Source organism: Homo sapiens, chromosome 10 (genome assembly GCF_000001405.40).
Source record: "Homo sapiens chromosome 10, GRCh38.p14 Primary Assembly".
NCBI classification, from domain to species: Eukaryota; Metazoa; Chordata; class Mammalia; order Primates; family Hominidae; genus Homo; species Homo sapiens.
The window spans coordinates 88,655,155-88,679,053 of record NC_000010.11 but is presented as its reverse complement, the minus strand read 5'-3'; the positions used below and the strand labels follow the sequence as shown (position 1 = coordinate 88,679,053).

Below are 23,899 nucleotides of genomic sequence, written 5' to 3'. Positions count from 1 at the left end.
GAAAGCAATATACTCAGTATCAAGTGTACATAAGCAGAGCGAATATGAAGCCAACACTGTCCTTTAGAAACACTTATGGCTCACAGCTCATATATAAGTGAGTTCAGAAGAGAAACTGAATGGGAAAATGAGAAGTTTCACCTCCCCAGAAATATATTCTCTCAAGTATTTCTAGATAAATTTCCAGGTGAAAAATCAAATTTCTTTAAATTAAAAAAATTCAAAATGACAAATGGAAGTTTGTTGATGCCAATATATTTCTAAAGTCAAAATTACAGAAAGAAGCACTGCATGTCAAACATTATGAAAATACTATGTATGAGAGAATAAAGTATTTTGGAAAAACAAACGGATAATTCTTTAAATCCAGAACTACTTTTTATCTTCTGATATCATAGAAACAATGTCATTGTAAACTTCTTGAGGGGCATCCATTGCCCAGATAAAGTCCAAGTGATTGTAAAAAGGAATCTCCTTGTGGTAAATAAGATTGGGGAGTTTTGGAAGCAAAAGGCCAACATCTTGGGGGTCAGCCAACAGGTCCTTGCCACCGTTCCACACTGCAATTGGTACATTCATGGCTGTCACATTGTAGTAGGGAGGTTGGGACTAGAAAACACAAGAGAAAGAACCAGAGTTTAGGTAACCACACTTTAAACCCAGTACTTACTATTCAAGTAGAGTGTATAACATTAACTGGCGGTTTTATAAGTGAATTCTAGCAATGATTGCACAGAGAAAACCACCTTTATCCACAGAGCAAAGTGAATGCAATATGTTTTAGATAAGTGCTTGTCAAATTCTAATGGGCCTGTGAATTACCTGAAGATCTTGTTGAAGTAAAAATTCTGTTTCAGTAGATCTGGGGAACAGCCTGAGATTCTGCATTCATAGGTGATGCTGATGCCATTGGCTCCAAACCATGCTCTGAATAGCAAGGCTTTGGACAGTAAGTCTTACAAATTAAGAACATAGATTGCAACTCAAGCTAAGGGAAATGGATTTGATTAGATTCTAATTGTTAATAGGTTGTTTCTACCCAAACACTCTAAAATATGATCTCAAAATGTCCTGAGTCATTTATTTTGGCTTTGTATTGACTTCCCAGTTATGGTCAGGGGATAGGTCAGTTGTTTCAGTTATGGAGCTGTAATTGTTGAATACTTACCTGAGTATTTACAAAATGTTGCTTCAAATTCTGAGAAAGGGTATTATCATCCCCATGTCCTGTTTCTCGAAAATCACAATTCACACATAGATTTTAAAGAGGTTTACAAAGCAGAAAAAGGAATAAGAGAATTATCTCAAATTTTCTTGCTGCCCAGAGAGAATTTTGTTAGATTTTTTTAGATCATAGTTTCAAGAATAGTAATCCAATATACTAAAAGTTTCTGTATTCTCACATTTTGTGTAATAGCCAACTTGCCATAGCAAAATATTTTATGATATGTAATTTTCCCTAATATTTTCATGATTTCTATTATATTTCCTAAATATTAGAGAAAAGGGAGTGTGTGGAGAATATTCATAATTATAAACCCAGCTTATTTTACTTACATCCTATTATTCAAAGAGTTTTCTAGATGCTGGCCCTGGCTCTTAAATTAGTGTCATTGCTTCAGTTAGTTAAAGACCAACCTGGTATATTATTGGTTTAGTTGGAAGAAGGGTGGACTTGGGGACTGGGTTTCTTGTTCCTCTAAGATGAAGTCCTCTGATTATGAGTATTAGAGTCCAGTAGAAAGAGAGACTCAAAGCAAGCCTGTGTGTTTTGGAGATTTGAGAAAGTGATGGTGGAGGAAAAAATGTTTTCAACAAAAGTTTGATCTCATGCTATTCTGAAAACTTTAAAGATATCAAAAATGCAAAATCAAGGTTGGGGGGCACCTTCTCTACACATAAGACATTGTTGTTAAAACATATAAATTCCTTCTAAATTTTAAGTCATGGAAACAAATGAAAATTAGTAGAGTTGTTCAGCTACTACTTGGATGGAAAAATTGGATGTGGTGAAAAGGAAGAAGAGAAGGTTACAAAATACTATAGGGTGCTTCCCTTGTTCAAAAATAGTCAGTGATAACCCGAGAGCTTACCCTGAGCTAAGAGCTTATAGATATTATAGCACTAAATCCTGTCAACAACTTCCTGAGCCTGGGTGGAGAGATGAAGAAATGACTGCCCAAACTCATATTGACTGCAGATAAGATAAGCTCCAAAGTCTGGATTCTTATTACAGCAAGTGTGAGGACTGCTTAATATGTCTGCCTATGCCAAAGGCCTCTGCCTATTGTAAAATATTTCCAGCCTTGACCTGCAAGCACGGCATCTTTTTCTTCTATTTGGGAATATATCCCATTGAAATCACTCCTCTGGCTGTCAACAAAGGAAAGGGTATTGTTTAAGAAGACCAGAAATTCCATGAACAGTTAGAATTATTAGCTTATTATATCAGGTATTAGTACTTCAGAAAGGAGAGGACAGTGTGCTGGGGATCTGGGATATGGGACAGGTCTGTGTAATGGCAATGGGTAGTGGTAAGTCCTGGGAAGTCTCTCACACACAGGGGTGTAGTACTTTGAGGGCAGCTTTGTAAACCTCTTTAAATGAGCGTAGCCACCAGAGCAGGAATGCATAGTCATGTGGGAGAATGAGAGACAGAACATCAACATTCCTTTGGAAAACAGATGCGCAGTTAACATAATTTCTTCTTTAACATTTAAATAGTTAGTATTGTTGTTCAAAATGTGAATAATTCCATCTTTAAGAAGCTTACCTGATCATAGTGCATCCTATTCTGAACTGGGCTTCCCCAGTCATAAGCTTGGAATTTCCCAGACTTAACAGCCTAACATAGAGAAATTAAAAGCAAACAAATAAAAATTATTATATTGTGAAAAATAAAATTCAAACATTTCCAAGCAGTTTATTTTCAATTTAAACAATTATTAAGAAACATTTTTCTCATTCCAAAAGATTATTAATAATCTAGGACAAGGTATTTATGTAAGTTTAAATGCAGCTTCACTCAAAATAATTTTTCTTGCATACCAAGTCATAAAAAGCATTTGCTGGGGGGAGGGATAGCATTAGGAGATATACCTAATGCTAAATGACGAGTTAGTGGGTGCAGCACACCAACATGGCACATGTATACATATGTAACAAACCTGCACGTTGTACACATGTACCTTAAAACTTAAAGTATAATAATAATAAAATAAAATAAAAAGCATTTTCTTCTTTGAAATAAATTCATAGTTATTTTTGTATGGTAGTCAGTGCCAGAAAAATTACCTTCCAGGTGTACTCAGCAGGATATTTTAAGAATGTGTTTAGGTAAAGTGAAAAGGGTTGAGACTCACAAAATACATTTTAACAGCATTTGGAAAAGAATACCTGGGTCCAATGGAACATGTTTTGAACAGAAGTTCCTGCTGGATTATGTGATAGATACACATCCAAGCGACTCTAGAAATCAACAGACACACATATTATATACATACTAAGACACATACTCAGTTTCTTAAAAACAGTAAAGATTTATGTTTTCTGATTCAGGTCAAGTGTTTAAAGGTAGCATTTACTGGAAGGATATGAACAACACATTTGTATGTCACTTCAGAATTTGCAAAGTGCAATTGCATGTGTTAACCCATTTAATTTGTAGCTGCCTAATGAGGAGAACTTATTAGTTCCATTTTATCAACATGAAAATTGGGGCACAAAGAAGTTTAAAGAAATGTCCAAGATCCACACAGAATGGAGACAGATACTTTAATTTGGGTCTCTGAGTCTAAATTCTCAGCTTTTATGCTTCTCTACCCAGTGCTAGAGTGCTGTAGGTTAAATATTCACACACAGGCCTCTTGCTTTGCAGAACCCCAAGCAACAAACTGAAGTTCCTTTCTCCAGTTGCAGAAGGCCACTTCATAGTGACTCTTAATGCCATTAATATAGCGGACTGTGGCCATAGTGAAACAAATTGGCCATCTTCATTGGAGACTGAAGATGGTCTTCTGCAAATTATTACGCAGAAGATGAAATCTCTAATTTCCTTTGTTTCCTTTGTCTTATTTTACTATTATTTTTCTTATAAGACTCTCACTAATGGAATACAGTAATTTGTTCTGCCTTTTGTTCGTGTGATGAGGACAGGCTACTCTCTGTTAAACTCCACATATGGAATGACAAGTAACCACAACACTTCATAGAATTATACCTTCTTATCAATAGATGTAATTTTCTTAGGTGTTCAAGGGTATATAACTAAAGTGACAATTTGGAGGGGAGATAGTTGTCTATGAATAGTAGTAGAAAACCTTATATGCTATTACTATGTGCTATATGCTTTGTACAATGTTCTATATGCTTTAAACATACTAGCTCATTTGATCTTCCCAATAACCCATTTTGTGGATGAGGAAATCAAGACAGAGACGTTTAAGTCAGTTCCAAATGTAGGGTTTGAATTTAAACTGATCTAAATCCATACTCTTAACTATGATAGTGTATTTTGTCCATATGTTTTGAAACTCCAACTCAATACAAAGTGAATGAAAAGGTAGATAAAGAATATGGGCAAAGTCAGCCGGGCGTGGTGGCTCACGCCTGTAATCCCAGCACTTTGGGAAGCTGAGGCGTGTGGATCATGAGGTCAGGAAATTGAGACCATCCTGGCTAACGCGATGAAACCCCGACTGTACTAAAAATACAAAAAATTAGCCGGGCGTGGTGGCGGGCGCCTGTAGTTCCAGCTACTCGGGAGGCTGAGGCAGGAGAATGGCGTGAACCCAAGAGGCGGAGCTTGCTATGAGCCGAGATTGCGCCACTGCACTCCAGCCTGGGTGACAGCGAGACTCTATCTCAAAAAAAGAATATGGGCAAAGTCTTACATAAATAGTTGCTCAGAAATATAGTCTGTAAGATTTATCAAAATGACTGTCAGCATTAGAAATATTTATTGAAAACATTTATTCAATATCTAGACATTTTTCTCACAAAGGAGCCTGCTAAAATATATGGTTCAGTCCTTTCTCTTACAGAATTTAAATGTAACACCTAGTATTTAGGTGGTCATAAGTGAGTAGTGAATTGTGTTTTTTCTTCATGTTGTTTATTTGGTTTAGGGGCAACTGGGGTGATGGAAGGATGCTGGAAGTGATTAAATTGGGAGCAATGATTTGTGATTTCTCTCATGTTTATCAGGATATCGCAGTTCTGAACCTACTCCTAGTTCTCATAAAGTACCACTTCTAAGTGGCAATGAAACAAGTAATCAAAGATGTTGCTCAAAATATAGAAATTGAAATGCATACTAACCGTGTTAAAGTTCTTACTGTCAAATCCACAAATTATAAATAAGGCATTGCTGCAAAGGAGATTCAGCATCTCACGGGAGCACACTTCAGTAGCAAGAAATTGATCAAAGAAGTTGTGTGGGTAGAATATTTTGTCACCAAATATAAACTGAAAAATAAAGGCACTATTAGAGGGTTGTAGCAATCAAGCTGCAGAAAAGACTCACTAGTTTATCTAATCTACTTATACATGTGTGATGAGGATGATGATATATTCTTATTCTTACATGTTGTTTTAGGAATTTCCAATACTTTCATTTAGTTAATTCCCTAATAAAGTTGTGAAATGGGCAGCACAGATATCAATACTAGGTATCTATTGTGGCACTGAGAACTGTACTGGCTGCTGAGAGGAAGTATAAGACACAAAGAGTTACAATCTAGTTGGGGTGATAGGAGTTGTGGGATAAAATCTTAAAAACACATGACAGACTGTCATAATGAAGTGCCAAGATGTGAGATTTCAGCAATAAATTGTGAAAAGTTTGGGAGGAGAAATGGTGACTTGGCCATATTTTCAGCAAAGCCTTTACAGAGGCAATGAGGCTCAGTATAAGAATTGAAAGAGTTTGCCCCAACTCTCTTTGAGGAAGGCAGATATTTTGTCATCTCTATTTTATACACGAGGAAACATGAGGTTAACATGAGTTAGGGTCTTGGGCTAATTAGAGCTCGATTATACCTAGAATCCTTACCCAAGCCTCTAACTTGAGGTCTATTGCTTTTCTAAATTTTAATCTACGTCTGCATTGCCTATCAGAAAATCTGAGTATGAGTAGGAAATAAGTTCTCAATCAATGTAGCCAATAAATATTTCTGGGCCATCAAAAAATTTTAGATTTTAATAAAAGTTTTCCAAATGTAGTTTGCCTATAGGTAAGTTCTCTTAGGCTTTAGACATACATATTAATACAGAATGAAAAGAGATGAATAGTACAAAACCATAGAAGGAAATGGAATCCTTATATTTTATAACCTGAGGCTAAACCGTTCCCCTAAAGGAAAGAGAGAGAGAGAGAGAGAGAGTGTGTGTGTGTGTGTGTGTGTGTGTGTGTGTGTGTGTGTGTGTGTTGGTTTTACTGGGTGAGAGAATTAGGGTATTAAGCATTGTCAAACAAAACGATTAATTCCATAACATGTGTGCCTACTGCATAAGGCACTTAATATTTATAATTTATTGAAATCCACACCACTGACTTATGAGATCGCCCATTTAAAGATGAAGGAGCTCTTAGGAAAGCCAAAAGGGAAAGCCATGAGAGATCTCAAGGTGTTTGCCTCACTCAATCACTGATTTATTTCCTCCTTTTCTCCCTTTCCCTCCCCTTCCTTTCCCTCCTCTTTCCAGTCTCTCTGGCCCAAGTGGGTTAGTCTTCTCATTTGACTATTTTGTTTTGTTTTTATTTCATCTTCCCTCCTCCTGGAGTGGAATCACAGCCTTGACACAACTGTGTAGAGTGCTTAATAAACAAACCATCTGTGAAAAAGCAAAACTACTCCCAGGCATTGCTGACTCACATGAAGAACAAAGAAAGAAAGGGGGATCTCGCAGGCTGTAAGGAGATTCAAACATGGTCAGTGCTATGGAAGAAATAATACAGATGCGAACAGTTCCATTTTTGGATATAAAAATGATTGTTCTCTTTTTATAACTCTGTTCTCTTTCTATAACTTTAAAATCCATGGGCAATCAAGGGTCTTAGATTCACTTAATTAAAGAGAATTGCATACCTTGAAGAGGGATTGAGGAACAAATCTAAGTTTGTTTATAAGGCTTTTTGTATACTTCACAGTGGCAACAGGAGCTAGAGCATAGAAGGTTTTGATTCTTTTAGCCAGGCTGGGATTGGTGGAAAAGGCAATAAAACCTGAAAAAGAACAAGGAACTGGTGAAAAAGGTGTGTGTGTGTGTTGTTGTTGTTGTTTTGTTTGTTTTTATAAGTGTGACATTATTTTGGACTTACTAAGGATGGTGTTTGAGACAGCCTGAGAAATTGGCATCTCTGCTGGCTCAGTGATTAGATTTTGGTATATTTGTTTTATTTTCATAGATTTTTCTATGGGGACATGAGGCTGGAACGTTTTAAAAGTTATCATAAACCTTTATCTGACCTTAGAAAATAGACCAAATTTAGGATACTCATATGGTTACAAAAAATTTTTTTATGAATTTCTTTATGAATTTATATTTTTTATGAATTTAAATGTATCTCATTACAATGAGATAATTAATTAACACTTAATATGAGTAGAGTATATAAGTGGAAAGGTTAAGAGTAGAAATTTAAATATGACCAAACTCAATTTGAATCCTGGCTCTGTGGTTTATTAGCTTTGTGACCTTGGACAAGCCACCTAATCTCTAAGAACCACTGTTTCCCTCTCTGAAATACAAGGATAGTGGTGAGTGCTTCATTAGATTGTTAGGAACTAAAGGAAGTAAATCATGTAAAGAAAGAATTTATCATGATTCTTGGCACATAGTAAATGCTTGATAAATAAGGACCCAAGAGAATTCAAATATCTATACATAGTAAATACATTCAGTAATGAATTAATTTTGTAAGCAGTAGTATACTGGCAGATGAGGATGTGATCAAGTAGTTATCAAGTTTAACGCTGCAGTATAGCTACATAGGCAAGGCCCTCCCACTGTCAATAATGACATATCGATGATACTCAAGAATGGCCTAAAAAAAACCCTTTCAGATATAGACAACTATATAATATGTAGTCTGGTTCTATTTGTGGAAGAATGGTTTTTCCAAGAACACCCTTCATCCAGGTCACCACCATCTCCTGCATGGGTACTATAAGAGTCCTCTAATTGGTTCTCTGCTCCTGCCTCTTTGCCCCTGGCAACAAAAGGGATCCTGTTATGAATCATGTAACTCTTCGATTCAAAATTATTCTGCAGTTTTCTTTTTTTATCAGAGTGAAAGCTAAAATCCCTACAACAGCCAAAGAGCCCCGAACAGTCTTTCCTCCCCAACATCTGTGATCTCATCTCTCACTCTCTCTGTCTCTTTCTCAATTTGATTCATCCACACAAGGCATAGCCTCACTGCTGTTCCTTGAACAAACTAGGTGTGCTCCAGCTTCAGATTCTTCTCACTTGCTATTCTGTCTTCCTGGAACATCTGATGCCTACTAGGTAGGCACATGACTCACTCTCTGACCTTCATCATGACTTTACCCAAAGAGTGCTTGTGTTACCAATCTACAATTTCTGTGAACCCCTCTGGTGCTCTCTAATGTAATTCCCTGGGTTATTTTCTCTCCATAGCTTTAGCATTATCTAAAATATATTACATTTTACTTTTTAACCTTTTTTATTTTCTCTGCCTCCTATCTCTAGAGTATAAATGGTACAAAGGCAGAAGTTTTCATCTATTTTATTTATTTCTGTATTCTTTTGATACATCATAGGAGCCTGCCCCATAAATATGGTCAAATGAATAGAATAAACTTAGGTCAGTGGCTGTATGGTATAATGCTTCAGAGTATGTGCTTGGGAGTCAGACTGCCTGAGCTACCCTATTGGTAATAATCCATGTAACCTTGCACGAACTGTATCCCCTTGTTTTGTTTTCCCATATAATAGGAATTATAATTGTCCCTATGTCATTGTGTTGTTGGAGGCATTAAATGAATGGAAAGCAATTAGTGTGGTTGCTAACATGCCTACCATAACCACTGGGAAAGTGTTTATGAGAAGTAAACCACTTGGCCTTGACTGCCATTACTTACCAATGGTGGTGCCCTGGGAATGGCCAACATAGTGTAGCTGCTTCTGTCCAGTTTTCTTTACAATGAAGTCGATTGTGGCTGGAAGGTCATATTTAGCCATTTCATCAAAGCTGAAAGGAAAAAGACAAAATGAAAGTGAATACATTTCCTTGCTATTGTTTCTAAAATTCAAGCATTTATAGCTAATGATCCCTTTGGGATACAGAAAACTGGATTCTCTAAACATTGATGCTTATAGACCATCAGTGGATGTCAGGTGCCCTTTGGGGCAGCTTCTTATAAACAACTGACATCATTTCTGAAGCGCAGCATTGCAGCCACAATTGAATCCAAACAAGATAGTATCTGTAGGTGGGAATTATTTCTATCCCTGAAATGAAATGTCAGATTTAATAATAATGTGTATGCTGTGTTCCATGTCATTTAATATAAATCCTGTCTTTCTCTATTTTATTTTTCACAAATCAGCCAACATGATATTTTGAAAATGAAAACTGTATTATGCCACTCCTCTTTTTAAAACTTCTCAGTGCACTCAGAATGAGGCCCAAGGCTCTCACTATCACCACTACTGCCCCATCTGCACCTCAGTCTTCACTCATGTCATTTTCCCTTTTCCCGCTACACCTGGGACACACAGGTTTCCTTTCAGCTCCTAGAACTCTTGAAACACTTTCATGCCTTAGCATCAGCAGCCAGGTTTTGTTCTGTTCTCTACCTCCATCAGTAATTTCCAGGAATAAGGCACAAGAAGACCAGTGAGAGAAGCCCATGATAATCTCTCCATGATATCTGAATTTCACTCTCCCCACCCCTCCTATTGATGATGATTCAGATTGCTGTTCTCCTACCCCTAAATGGGTTTTTACTTCTCTCTTGAATCCATATGGACATTCCTTTGGAATTTTCCAGGGGCTGTGAGTTTCCTTGCTTCAGCCATATTGTTCATTCCATTTGGAAAATCACTTTCTGGAAATCCCTAATGGAGACTCCTGAGATCACAAAAGTTTGAAGGAAAAGCTACCCTAGGAATGAGGTACATGGAAGAATCCAAGAATGGATTAGAATGAAAATGACTTGTTTATCCTCCTACTTGGAGTGTAATTTGTTAAAATGGGACTGGATTAGAAGGGGCAAATGCCTATGCTTTTAAAGCCCAGTGTTTATTTTTAATTGTCCCTTTTGTTTACCTGAAAGCCCAGAATTCAACTGAATCTGGTGAATAGTACAAGTTTCTTCTGGCCCAGGTGTTTCCTCTGCTGTTGCCCAGCCACACATCATAACCAGCATCTGCCAGAATGAAGGCAAGGCTGTTGTTCGGCAGGTTGGAAATCCAGTTTGTGGCTGATGCAAGCAAACCATGCTGCAAAAACACAACAGGTCTCTGGCCTAAGGAAGAAAATGTTTATAAACTTTATAAATGTATTCCTTATTCTAGGATAAATGTGAGGCTAGAAACAGTCTTCCATATGACTAGCACTAAATACATTTGCCTGATTGAGTTGATTATTTTTGAATATCTTATCGTAATTGTGGTGATGATTTCTCAGGGAGTTGATTTCTCAGATGCCAAAACTTATGAAACTGCACACCTTAAATATGAGCAGCTTATTATATGCCAGTTACATCTCAATAAAACTATTGAAAAAATTATATTCTCAGGTAATTCAGCACAATGTTAAATTTGGTAAACTGTGAGTGGTAAAATTACGAGTAATCTTTTTTTTTTCTTTTTGTACTTCATAACATTTCTACAATGAGTAAAAGGTAAATTTTTAATAGTACTAGTGAAAATTAGCCTGTATGTGTTTAGGAAATGAGCCTTGAATTGGTTCCCCATCTTCCCCTCTGCAACACACACCCTGGCTAACTCTTCCTGATCCTTAGATCTTCATCCAGTTACTGTTTCTGAGAGTGAGCTTTCCTTGACTCCCTTAGCTGAGTTAGGTAATTTTATTAAAACCTTCAGTTTAATATCCTATGTACAGTTGTAGCTTGAGCTTATCACATATTATTATAATCACTCATTTACTTATCTATTTCATTGGCTTGATGATGATCTCCTTGAAGACTGAAAATATAGCTTATTTTTGCATTTCCAGAATGAGCAAGACATTACATTTTTAGCAAGAAATAAAAGGAGGAAAAAGGGAAGAACAAAAGAAGGAAAAGTTGGAGGAAGAAAGGAGAGAGGGAAGGAAGAAGAAAGAAGGAAAGGAAAAAAGAGAGAAAGGAAGGAAGAAAAGAAGCTTATATATACCTGTATTCCCTGAATTTTTCTTCCCATAAGGAATTCTATTGACTTCAAGAATATAACCATCTTCAGTCACAACTTCATATTCTTCATTTGGGTATCCCCAATAAGTAATCATCTGACTCTGAGGAAGCAAACCCAAAAGTTTAAATTTTAGTTGATTTTTAGATATATCTAATAAATGAATATTACTGTTTATTTTTAATTGGTCATATAAAATCTTTAACTCATTATGATTTTAAATAATAGCATCTTTTAGTTTTATAGAGTTTTTCCCCAGAGTAACTTACAATGTTCATAGTCACTTCAGGGCTTCCAGGATGTAATTTTCCAAACAAACCATGTGTAGTCCCCAGTACAGATATCAAACTTGCCATTGTTAAAAGCAGCCACATTTTGGACCTGCCTGAAAGAAAAGAATAACCCGTGCCATGGTTAATCCATTATACTTTCATAATGCTTATATTTTATGCCAATTTTACCTTTGTGCTAAGTAGAGGAATGCTTGGGTTTGATTATATTCCATTGGGCAATAAAATGAGACATATGGATGTCAGCACAGGTAACTTAATGCTTAACATGTTTTAATGCTTAACATGTTTAAGCTTTTAATGCTTAACTTGTTTTCACTGTTTGATTCCTTTTGTTTAAGAACATTTTCCACTTGGTTTCAAGCCATACTGAATTAATCTTAATTGGCAAAAAAAAAAAGCCTCTAATTGGCATAACAATGTGTCCTTATTATGCTTTGTGTTTAAGACTTTTGCCTGCTTATTTTGAGAGCCCAGATTTGGGTGAGGGATGTGTGGGCCTTTGACTTCTCTATATCCAATCTCTGTATAACGTGTGTTCAAAGTAATCATGGTGATTTTAAATGTTGTTTATAATAGTTATTCCATAAACATTTACTGATTTGAGGTTATTATGTGATTTTCCCACCTCTGCTTCCAGGGTAGCTGGGACTACAGGTGTTCATCTGGCTAATTTTTTTTCTTTTTTTTAGAGATAGGGTGTTTCTACATTACTCAGACTGGTCTCGAACTCCTGGCCTCAAGGTATCTTCCCGCCTGGGCTTCCCAAAGCACTGGGATTATAGACATAAGCCACCACACCTAGCCTTATAGACAATATTTGGTATTAGGCCCACAACACCTGAACTTCCTTCTATGTTGTAGTCACTGATTATAAGTTTGAGAATCTTCAGATATTAAGCTGGTGAAAAAGCTTCAATAGAGAAGTGATATTGTCCTCAAATATTTGAAGGGAAGCCATGTAGAGGACAGTTTTAAATCACTTCATTTTTAGTGTGTCAGAAATAAATTATTCAATAAATATTTATTGAGAAATTGTATGTTAGGAGCAATACTTCGAGATCATATGTAGAAATATTTGACTTGAATACAGTGAAGAATGTGTAATATTTGGATCTTTGGATTCAAGTGGAATTCTTTGAAAAGTGGTGACTTCCCAGTTGCTGATAATATTTCAAGAAAACCCGTTTATAGTAATTCATGCAGAGCACATAGCATAGTTCCTGATTTACAGTAAAACCAGACCAGAACTCTCAAGGCCTAAATCTGACCCTCTGGTCTAATAGTTTGCCCACTGGTTTAGTATAGGATTAGATTTAAGGGTATCTCTTAAAAATCAGTTTTTGGCAGAGCGCGGTAGCTCATGCCTGCAAACCCAGCACTTTGGGAGGCCGAGGCGGGCGGATCAGGAGGTCAGGAGATCGAGGCCATCCTGGCTAACACGGTGAAACCACGTCTCTACTAAAAATACAAAAAAATTAGCCGGGTGTGCGCGCCTGTAATTTCAGCTACTTGGGAGGCTGAGACGCAAGAGTCCTTGAACCGAGGAGGCGGAGGTTGCAGTGAGCGGAGATCGCACCATTGCACTCCAGCCCAGGAGACAGTGTGAGACTCCGTCTCAAAAAAAAAAAAAAAAAAAAAAAATCAGTTTTTAACTAAGCCTTGTTTTTACCGTGATATTTTAGGAAGAGATAAACTAATATATAAAGACTAACCAGTAGTGTTGTAACATTCAAACCAGAGGCTTTCATCAAACATTTCAGGAACCCACATGACCTCCATTAAGTGATTTGCCATTGTAAAGTGAGGACACTTAACCTACTGTTTGCGTTGGAGAACATCTCAATGGGCTCAAAGATGTTCAAGGGCAGAATAAATTTCTCAAAATGCTTGTTGCCAAGTCCTAGGAAAATACCAGTAATTAACACATACAGAGGACTCACTGTGTGCTGTACTGTGTGTTCAACATGGTATACGTGAAATGAACTATCTTGCTAAGACAGTGTTCTCATCTATAAAACAGGGCCTGTAATAGTACATTTCTCTATGTTAGGGGAATTCATTATGATAACAAAAGTAAAGTTCTTAACATGCTGGGCATCTCATAAACGTTAGTTAAATATAGTTATTATGACTATTATCTCATTTAATTCTCATAGCAACTCTATGAAGTAGGTAGCATTATATTATCCATTTTACAAATAAGCAAGGTAAGGCTAAAAGAGGACTCGCCCAACCAAATATATAGAAAGTAGTGGAGCCCATATTTTAAACTAGTCTATTTCCAAAGGCTATGTTCTTCCCCACTGTAATACTCCTTCAGTATGACCCTGGGCCAGCTTTTATAGGGACATCCCCAGGGAGATTTATATAATTTGGTCTAGACTTCTGTTTTGAAAAGTTTATAATTTAAATAAATGTTTTAATAGCCTATAAGGTTTCACAATCGTATTAATAATGATCAATTCAACAGCAGTTGATTTGGATGATATTAAATATTAAACATAGCATATTAATACAGCCAATTATATGTCACTAGATTACTGATCTATTCCTTCTCAAAAAGAAGAGTCACAGAGACTAGACTTTCACATTAGGAACTTAATAAACAAATTTGTAATTCAATAGTTAAGAAATTATGAGACTTTCACATTAGGCACTAATTGCAATAATAAACAAATTTGTCATTCCATAATTAAGAGTCTCATGTCCATACAAAAAAAAGAATAAAATAAATCAAATCCTAGAGGAATAAGCCATAATTTAAACAGATACATTTATGCAGGTGAATATGCAACAAATATCTAAGCCTTTAAAAATGCATCACTTGGGATAAAGAAAAAATCTAATAATTCAAATAACAATTTTGTTCAGCAGAAGTTCTACTTACAGTTTCCTCAGAAATAGTTAGGATTCTGTTTCTCTGGCTGGTTAGTATTTTGGTCAATGTTGTATTGACTTCTTATATACAAAACCTTCAACAATGGTCAGATTCCTCATCCACTGATTACATTACCAAAAAGACTTACTATCTGGGCATCATCTAATGTTAACAGGACAAAACTAAAAATTAAATATTGCATTCATTTTCACATAATACTGAGTGCTCACCTTTAACTTTTAACAAAGACAAATATTGGCCAAAGTAGTTCTGAGGATTAAAATGATTTAGGAACCATTAAAAATAATCCTTGATAGCCTAAACATATAAACGTTTTTGAGCCAAAGGTATAATGCAAATGATTATATAGTTTGGCTCAGATAGAGAGGCATAAAATGACAAAAGGCCACCTGTTATTCTTTAAAAATGCAGCGCATAAGCTATTTTGACTAGATGGTTAGATAAGTGAATGTGTTCAGCAAAGATTAATATTTTATTATGGTCTTTGACCAGGGTCTCAAATCCTACAGATAATGGTCTAGCTATCATACAAAACCCAGCCCTTGACCTTTAAGAACATATTTTTGGTGTCTTTTTCCTTCTAAGAAATCTAGGCTTAATACCTGGACGATGAAACAATCTGTACAACAAATCTCCAGGACACAGGTTTACCTATGTAACAAACCTGCACTTGTACCCCTAAACTTAAAATAAAAGTTAAAAAAAAGGAAACAAAAAAATCTATGGGTTATAGTTTGAACAATATGAATGTGTTTATTAAAAGTATATATTAAATTATGTTTTAAAATACAGTTGATCCTTTACAACCATCATGAGCATCTGTTGCTCGTGGGATACATGTGCGGAATGTGCAGGTTTGCTGCATAGTATACATGCGCCATGGTGGTTTGCTGCACCAATCCACCCATCATCTACATTAGGTATTTCTCCTAGTGCTATCCCTCCCATTGTCCCCTAGCCCCTGGCAGGCCCTGGTGTGTGACGTTCCCTTCCCTGTGTCCATGTGTTCTCATTGTTCAACTCCCACTTATGAATGAGAACATGCGGTGTTTGGTTTTCTCTTCCTGTGTTAGTTTGCTGAGAATGATGCTTTCCAGCTTTATCCATGTCCCTGTGAAGGACATGAACTCATCCTTTTTCATGGCTGCATAGTATTCCATGGTGTATATGTGCCACATTTTCTTTATCCAGTCTATTATTGATGGGCATTTGGGTTGGTTCCAAGTCTTTGCTATTGTGAATAGTGCTGCAATAAACATATGTGTGCATGTGTTCCCTACAGTGGAATGATTTACAATCCTTGGGGTATATACCCAGTAATGGGATTGCTGGGTCAAATGGTATTTCTGGTTCTAGATCCTTGAGGAATTGCCACACTGTCTTCCACAATGGTTGAACTAATTTACACTCCCACCAACAGTGAAAAAGCGTTCCTATTTCTCCACATCCTCTCCAGCATCTGTTATTTCCTGACTTTTTAATGATCGCCATTCTAACTGGAGTGAGATGGTATCTCATTGTGGTTTTGATTTGCATTTCTCTAATGACCAGTGATGATGAGCTTTTTTTTCATATGTTTGTTGGTGGCATAACTGTCTTCTTTTGAGAAATGTCTGTTCATATCCTTCAACCACTTTTTGATGGGGTTGTTTTTTTCTTGTAAATTTGTTTAAGTTCCTTGTAGATTCTGGATATTAGCCCTTCGTCAAATGGATAGATTGTAAAAATTTCTCCCATTCTTTAGGTTGCCTATTCACTCTGATGATAGCTTCGTTTGCTGCATAGAAGCTCTTTAGTTTAATTAGATCCCATTTGTCAATTTTGGCTTTTGCTGCCGTTGCTTTTGGTGTTTTAAACATGAAGACTTTGCCCATGCCTATGTCCTGAATGGTATTGCCTAGGTTTTCTTCTAGGGTTTTTATGGTTTTAGGTCTTATTTTAAGTCTTTAATCCATCTTGAGTTAATTTTTGTATAAGGTATAAGGAAGGGGTCTGGTTTCAGTTTTCTGCCTATGGCTAGCCAGTTTTCCCAACACCATTAATTAAATAGAGAATCCTTTCCCCATTGCTTGTGTCAGGTTCGTCAAAGATCAAATTGTCTGTTTTTTGCTTGGTACGTTTTACTCATGATTCAAGATTTAAGTTTCACTTCAAATGTCATCTCCATGATGAGGACTTCTCTGAATTGTCCAACAGAGTTAGTTCATTCTTCCCCTGGTTGTCCTAGGTCTTCATGCATACCACACTTCTCACAGTTTTTGTGCTTTAAATATAAGCTGTCTGTTTCCTATCTAGACTGTGTATAACGAATGAAAGGGTGGATAGAATATATATATATATTATACATATTATATATATTTATATATTATATGTTATATATAATAAATTAGCACATGAGTAGAGACCAAAGAAGTTAATAAAATAGCGCATACTTTAGAAAATTTAAAGAACTCGGGACATAAATATAAGACAGTATTATCAATAGTGTTTCATGTTGGCCTCACTGAAGAAACATAGCAAGATCCACAAGAGTGCCCCAGCCTGTTCATAAGCAGATGCTGCCCTTTATATACTGTGAAAATTTATTTACCTTTTTTTTTCTGACAGGGAGAAGAATAGCATAAGCACAAAAGCATGAGCTCTGGGGTTAAACTGATTAAGCTCAAATTTTTGCACTACCACTTGCTTCCTGTATGAATTTATGTCAACTTCAGTCTCTCACTTCCTTCTTTTATAAGATTGGGATAACATTGCCTACCTCTCAGATTGTTGTTGTTAAAAATTAAATGAGATAATTAATTAAGTGAGATAATTCTTAATATACTTAGCAAAAGGCATAGTATAGATGCTCAGTAAATGGTACTTTTTATTTTTATTATGAATAAATTTACTAATTTCTCAAGACCTCATTCATTCATTGAGAACAAATATTTATCAAGTGCCTATTGCGTGTTCAACACTGTTTCAGAAGGTAGAAATACTTATTAAAAAGGCAAAAGAGATTCCTGTCCTGTAGGAGCTTACATATTACAGTACAGAGAGACAAACAATGAAGAAAGGGACAAAAATCTTAAACAGACCTTGAAAAGCACTGTGAAGAAACAGAGTTATATGAAAGAGAATAAGCAGAGGTGGATCACTTAGGATGAAGTAGCCATGGAAGGCTTCTCTCAGGAAGCAACTGGGACCTAAATGACAGGAAGGAACCAGCCTTGTGAAGAGCCAGTGAAATGCATTCCAGGCCAAGTTCAAAGAGCATGAAGTGGGAAATGACTTGTCATCTTCAGTGAACAGAAAAGAGGCCAGGATATGGCTGAGGCACAGGGAGTGAGGGTGAGAATGGTATAAGGTAATGTTGGAAAATAAGCCAGGTGCAGATCATAAGGCTCAAGATAAGGAGCTTTGAATTCATTTTAAGAGGAATAGAATGCACTGAAGGGTTTGAAGCAGGGTAGTGATATGCTGTATGTTTTTTTAAAAATCAACCTGGAGACTGTATAAAGATGAAGAAAGAAAGGAAAGAATGGAAACAGGAATGGCAGTTAGGAGCTTTTTCAGTGTTTCAGCTGAAAGATGATACAGCTTTGATCAGAATCGTAGCAGAAAAGGTAATAAGAGCTGATTCAAGGTATCTTCTGGGTGTTAGTCTGATAGAATTTACTAACGTTGGATTCAGGAGAGGTCAGGGTGGGAGAAAAAAAAGGAGAAATAAGAATGATTCGTAGGTTTCTGCTTTAACCAGCTGGGTGGATGGTAGATTGGATGGTTAATTACACAGGGAAGCCTCAGGAAGGAGCAGATGGGAGTGGGAGGTAGAAAGTCAGGAAATCCATTTTGGATATTTTGACTCATAGATGAAAATATGAAATAGATATTTTTCATAATACTATTGTGTTTAAGGAAACATTTGTATTGGAAACACATGTGACTGTAATTAGTACACAAATGGTATCTAAGCCTTGCAATGGGATAAAATCACTTAGGGAAGTAGCTCTCAATTTTGACTACGTACTAGATTCCCCTGGGGAACTTTTAAATACAGATGCCAAATCCCAGCCCTGATCAATTGAATAAGAAGCCCTAGGGTGTTAGTTGGACATGAATATTAAAAAAGAAGCCGTTAGATTAATTCTGACCCATTCTTGAGTGCTGAGAACCACTGACCCAGGGAGAGATTTTAGAAAGAGAAGAGAAAGTGGCCCTAGATTGAGCTCTGAGACACTACAATACTTAGAGAACTAAGATTCCCACTAAAGAGAACTGACAAGGAGCAGCCCAAAAGACTGAAAATAGACAAACTTGGTACTCTCAAGAGAGGAAAGGGTTTAAAATAGTGTGGCTAACTGGTTTCAGTGTTACTAAGAGGTCAAGTATGCTGAGGACAGATGTAGTGTTTTAAAATTTATTTTTCTTTGAAGCATAATATATACATAATAAAGTGTACTGTATACATCTTAAGTGCACATTTTGATTACTTTGTGTACCTGTAGACACTGGAGTAACTGCCACTCAGATCCAGATATGAAACTTTCCAACACCCTAAAAGGATCTTTTGTTTCTCTTCCAGATTCATATCTCCCTCACCTCCAGGAAGAAAGCAATTTTCTGATTATATAGTCATGGATTAGTTTTGCCCGTATTAAACTCCTTATAAAAAGAATTACACAATATGTACTCTTGTGTCTGGCTACTTTTGCTCAGCTTTATTTCTCTGAACTTCATCCATGTTATTCCATATATCAACAGTTCATTCTTTTTTGTAGCTCCATAATTTTCAATTGCATAAACTTAGTTAATACAATTCATCTAGTCTTCCATTTATAGATATTTGGGTTGCTTCCAGCTTATTGGCACTTATCGGTAAAGCTGTTATAACCATTCTATACATGGTTTCTGATGGACATACGTTTACTTTTCTACTGGGTATTTTTCTAGGAATGGAATTGCTGGTTCCTTAGGATAGGTCTACATCTGCCTTTAGAAGATCTTGCCACACAGTTTTCCAGAGTGGTTATGCAAACTTACACCCCCTCCAGCAATAAATGGGAGTTCCAATATTCCATAGACTCACCAACACTTAATATTATCATTCTTTTAATTTGTAGCAATTCTGGTGGATGTGAAGTGGTATTTCATTGTAGTTTTACTTTGCCTTTCTTGATAAATAATGGGAGACTTCTTTTTTTTTTTGAGACAGAGTTTTGCTCTTGTCACCCAGGCTGGAGTGCAATGGTGCGATCTTGGCTCACTGCAACCTCCGCCTCCTGGGTTCCAGTGATTCTCCTGCCTCGGCCTCCCAAGTAGTTGGGATTATAGGCGCCCGCCACTACACCCAGCTATTTTTTTGTATTTTTAGTAGACACAAGGTTTCACCATGTTGGTCAGGCTGGTCTTGAACTCCTGACCAGTGAGAAACAATGAGAAACATTTAACATACTTACTGAGCATTTAGTTATCCTCTTAGCGAAGTCCCTGTTCAAAACTTTTGGCCAATTGTGTTGACTTATTTTTCTTTTTCTTTCTTTATTTTTATTCTTCTTTTTTTTTTTTTTTTTTTTTTTTTTCAGACAGAGTCTCACTTACTCTGTTGTCCAGGCTGAAGTGCAGTGGCACAACCTTAGCTCACTTCAACCTCTTGCTCTTTGGGTTCAAGTGATTCTCCTGCTTCAGCCTCCTAAGTAGCTGCGATTACAGGCATGCACCACCATGCCTGGCTAATTTTTGTATTCTTAGTAGCAATGGGGTTTCACCATGTTGGCCAAGCTGGTCTCAAATTCCCAGCCTCAAATGATCCACCCGCCTCAGCCTCCCAAATGCTGGAATTACAGACATGAGCCACCAAAACCGACCAACTTGTTTTTCTTTTAATTGTTGATTTGCAGAAATTCTGTATATAATTTGGATATCGATCATTTGTTAGATGCATATCTTGTGAATGTTTTCTTCTAGTTTCTCAGTGTCTTGTTTTTACAGTCTTTTAATGATATATTTTGATGGAAAGAACATTAATTTTAATAAAATCCAATTCCTCAGTTCTTTTATGGTACTTTTAATGCCATATGTAAAAATCTTTGTCTACATCAAGGTCATGAAGTTATGTTTTTCTTTATAAACTTTATTGTTTTACCTTTTGTATTTAGGCCTCCCCAGCAATGCATATACACTCATGCAAACAAAATGTTGCCTATGATTTCTGAGGGCTTGTGCAGATTCCATGAAGTCCATGCATGTTGAGAATATCTGTTCTAGCTGAGCTACCATCTCTTAGGAATCAACCCATTTATAATGTAGATTATGTTTCCCTTTCTAGAGTCTCACTCTGTGACTCAGGCTGGAGTGCAAAAGTGCAATCATGGCTCATTGCAGACTCAATCTTGTGGGCTCAAGTGATCCTCCCACTTCAGTCTCCTGAGTAGCTGGGATGACAGCTGTGTGCCCCCTGGCTAATTTTTGTATTTTTTAGAGATGGGATTTCACCGTGTTGTCCAGGCTGGTCTTAAACTCCTGGACTCAAGAAATCCTCCTGCCTCAGCTCCCAAAGTGCTGGGATTACAGGCATGAGCCAGCCTGCCTGGCCTTGAATCATTTTTATAAGCTCACCTCCTTTGTCTTTACATTCAATCAGTCCCCAAGTCTACTGCTGATCTTTGATGCTTTTATTTTTTCAATTACTTTCATTCCTCATTCCCCTTTTTTTTTTGTTCTAGGCTTTTATTACACTTCAGCTATGATTTTTGCTGTCACTCTTCACTGGCATTCTAGAAACTAATTTTCCATTATTCAGTGCATTAGCAAACTGTTTCTCAATTTACAGTTCAAGTCCAATTGTATCACCTTTGGCTTGAAAATTAGAAATGGCTATCACTGTCCTGTGAATAGAGTTTAAATAGCAAAGAATGTACTTCATTCAACAAATAGGCATTTTTAGAGACTCCCCTCCATTCCAGGAAATAAGAGTATTCCTAAAATTCCCAACGCCAGTTGATCCCTCTGTTTCCTATGACCTCCCATTGCACCTTGGTAACTATAAAACTCATCTTGGTCCTTAAATCTCTATAGTTTTATATTGCTTCTTAATGACTTCAGAGCATGCCCTATTAGCTCAAGAAAATGAACTTCATTAGAATACATGTATATATCACTACAGAGCACATTAGTATTTTAGATATTAAATTAGATTATTCCCATCATCATTTCACAAATACATGAGACAACTCTAGGTGCTTAGCAAATGAGTTTATTTGATTGTCTTCATTAATTTCCAAAGTCTTTTTTTTTTAACTCATTTGTGGGCAACTGATTACATTGTCATCACAACTCTTCTTAGAAACCTAGGGTGGCCTTTGTCACTCTGAATAGTTGACAGTGACATTATTAAGAGCAGACATTTGTAACCCAAAGTTCATGTAAATTTGTGTGAATTTCTAAGGTGAGTAGTTTCATGGCTTCCATTAGACTCTTAAATTTATCCTTCACCAATTAAAAGGTTAAGAATTATAAATACTGTAACAATCTTTCAAATAACAATTACAACATGTTCAATAAGTGCATGAGTGAGATCGAGTAACAATGTAAAACTGAAAGAAGAATATTCGTGATGATAGAAGGATTTTCTGTAGGTAAAAAATATCATGCGAAAGGTTATTTTATATGCCTTATGAAGTCAATGTCAGCATTAAAGGACAGGTCATAAATGTGATAATGATTATTTCTGTAACTATTTTAGAGTACTAAAATATTACAGTGAAACAAGGAATATTTTGAAAACATATAAAAGGCATATATATATATATATATATAATAACATCAAGAGAAAAATCCCATTATCAACAAAGTCTGATATTTTTCTTAAAAAATAGTGATGGCAATACAATAATAGAAAAAAATCCTGAGCCTTGCATCTAGTAAGACCTTCTTTATTGTTTCTATGATTTAAAAGTAAATATCCTGAAGTGCACCATGATTTTAGAATAAATCCAATTGATTATAGGAAGGCAGAAACAGAAGGTGAATGAAGTTAGAGATTTGATAGAGTAAGTTGCTGACATCTTTAGGGTCAGACAGTAAGATTTTTTTCCCATTCACAGTACAGCTGGGATTTCTTTGTTGGTTACATGGGATTCTAGAGGAGTAGGCTAAATGAATACAAAGAAAGAAAAGAGATTTCACAATTAATCCCACTTAAAAGTACTATTAGGTCTTTGTAAAACCACATTTTACTAGAAGAGAATGTGTATCTTAATTATTTATGTTACTATTGGTGACAGTGAGCTGGCCTTAACATGTATAGCTTCTAGAAGAAAGACCACTTGCATATTAGCAAAATGGAAAAGGTCCACATCAGAGTAGCTCAACTACACCTGGCAAGTTATTTGGTGCCCTTCTATGAACAGACTGAGATTAGAGGTTGGACAATATTTTTATTCCTAATCTTTTAAGGCAACAGTAAAATCGACTGTTAAAAATCAAACCGGATTTGCTTTGTTGACTTTTCTGAAGGGATTATGATAGGTGTGTTTTAGAATTTCTAGACAAAGACCAGTCTGGGTGGCTGGCTAGTCTCCTACTCTGGCAAATTTATCCTAAGTTGATCCCTTGGGTCTAGTGATAAGGGTGTTGACCACACCCTTAGAGTGAACAAGGTTTAGCCCTAATCCTGCCTAGGTCTGCCTCCCACCTTACCCCCAACATTACTTGGGTAAGATAAGTTTTCAAGGAGTCCCTGACACAAAGGAGGCAAGCAGAGAGCCAAGAAAGAAAGCTGAGGAGGCTTTGGCCAAGAGAGAGAATTGTAAAAAACTACTTTGGGGAGAGAAAACCCTGGATGCTCTGACTATGAATTTATAGACAGAATCTGCTGCCCTAGGCAATACCCAAGTAATATGACAGAAGCATGAAGACAAAATTGTCATTGGCTGTGTCATATGATGACTAGAGTAGGTTAAACAGATTCAAGAATATTAAGGTTTCATTAGTTTTAGACAACATTTTGTACATTATATGTGCTTTCACTTGCGTTGTTATATGCAATATTCAAAGCCTATCTGTGAGGTAGCCATTAAATGTCATTGGTTTACAAGTGTGAACACCAGCTCAGGTAGGCCCATTGGACTCATGGCATGCAGCTGGAGACTGGAGGAGCTAGGAGCAGGGTTTCTGCTCATGGACTTAGTTCATCTTCTGGTTTACACTGGGATTCTCTGGAGCATCCATTGAAAGTCACTGTATTAGTTTGCTAGGGCTGCGATAACAAAATGCTACAGACTGGGTGGCCTAAACAACATAAATTTATTTTCTTACAATTTTGGAGGCTGGATGTTCAACA

The 23,899-nt window shown here is 36.5% G+C and overlaps 1 protein-coding gene across 5 annotated transcripts; it reads right to left on the bottom strand.

Moving 5' to 3' along the window:
- Positions 1-239: 239 nt before the first annotated feature.
- Positions 240-14,612, bottom strand: LIPF (lipase F, gastric type). Of its 5 annotated transcripts, none has more exons than NM_001198829.2 (11): positions 14,563-14,612; positions 13,495-13,575; positions 11,652-11,767; positions 11,368-11,485; positions 10,298-10,496; positions 9,108-9,217; positions 7,089-7,225; positions 5,320-5,466; positions 3,397-3,468; positions 2,774-2,845; positions 240-609 (listed from the first exon to the last, which is right to left on the bottom strand). In NM_001198829.2, exons 2-11 carry the CDS (start codon positions 13,511-13,513, stop codon positions 373-375), a joined length of 1,227 nt encoding a protein of 408 aa, NP_001185758.1. In that variant the 5' UTR covers positions 13,514-13,575; positions 14,563-14,612; the 3' UTR covers positions 240-372. The 5 variants fall into 5 exon arrangements, with proteins under 5 accessions (NP_001185758.1, NP_001185759.1, NP_004181.1 ...); NM_001198830.2 differs by having other exon boundaries at positions 10,298-10,397; NM_004190.4 differs by lacking the exon at positions 13,495-13,575.
- Between the last annotated feature and the right edge of the window lie 9,287 nt (positions 14,613-23,899).

What these genes read in the sequence shown, in the direction of transcription:
- LIPF (NM_001198829.2), bottom strand. An exon ending in GAAAAATTCAGGGAATACAG is followed by an intron (nt 10,497 to 11,367) that starts GTATATATAAGC and finishes TTTCTTCCTTAG; the next exon opens with GCCAGAGACCTGTTGTGTTT. An exon ending in ACATGTTCCATTGGACCCAG is followed by an intron (nt 2,846 to 3,396) that starts GTATTCTTTTCC and finishes TCTCTATGTTAG; the next exon opens with GCTGTTAAGTCTGGGAAATT.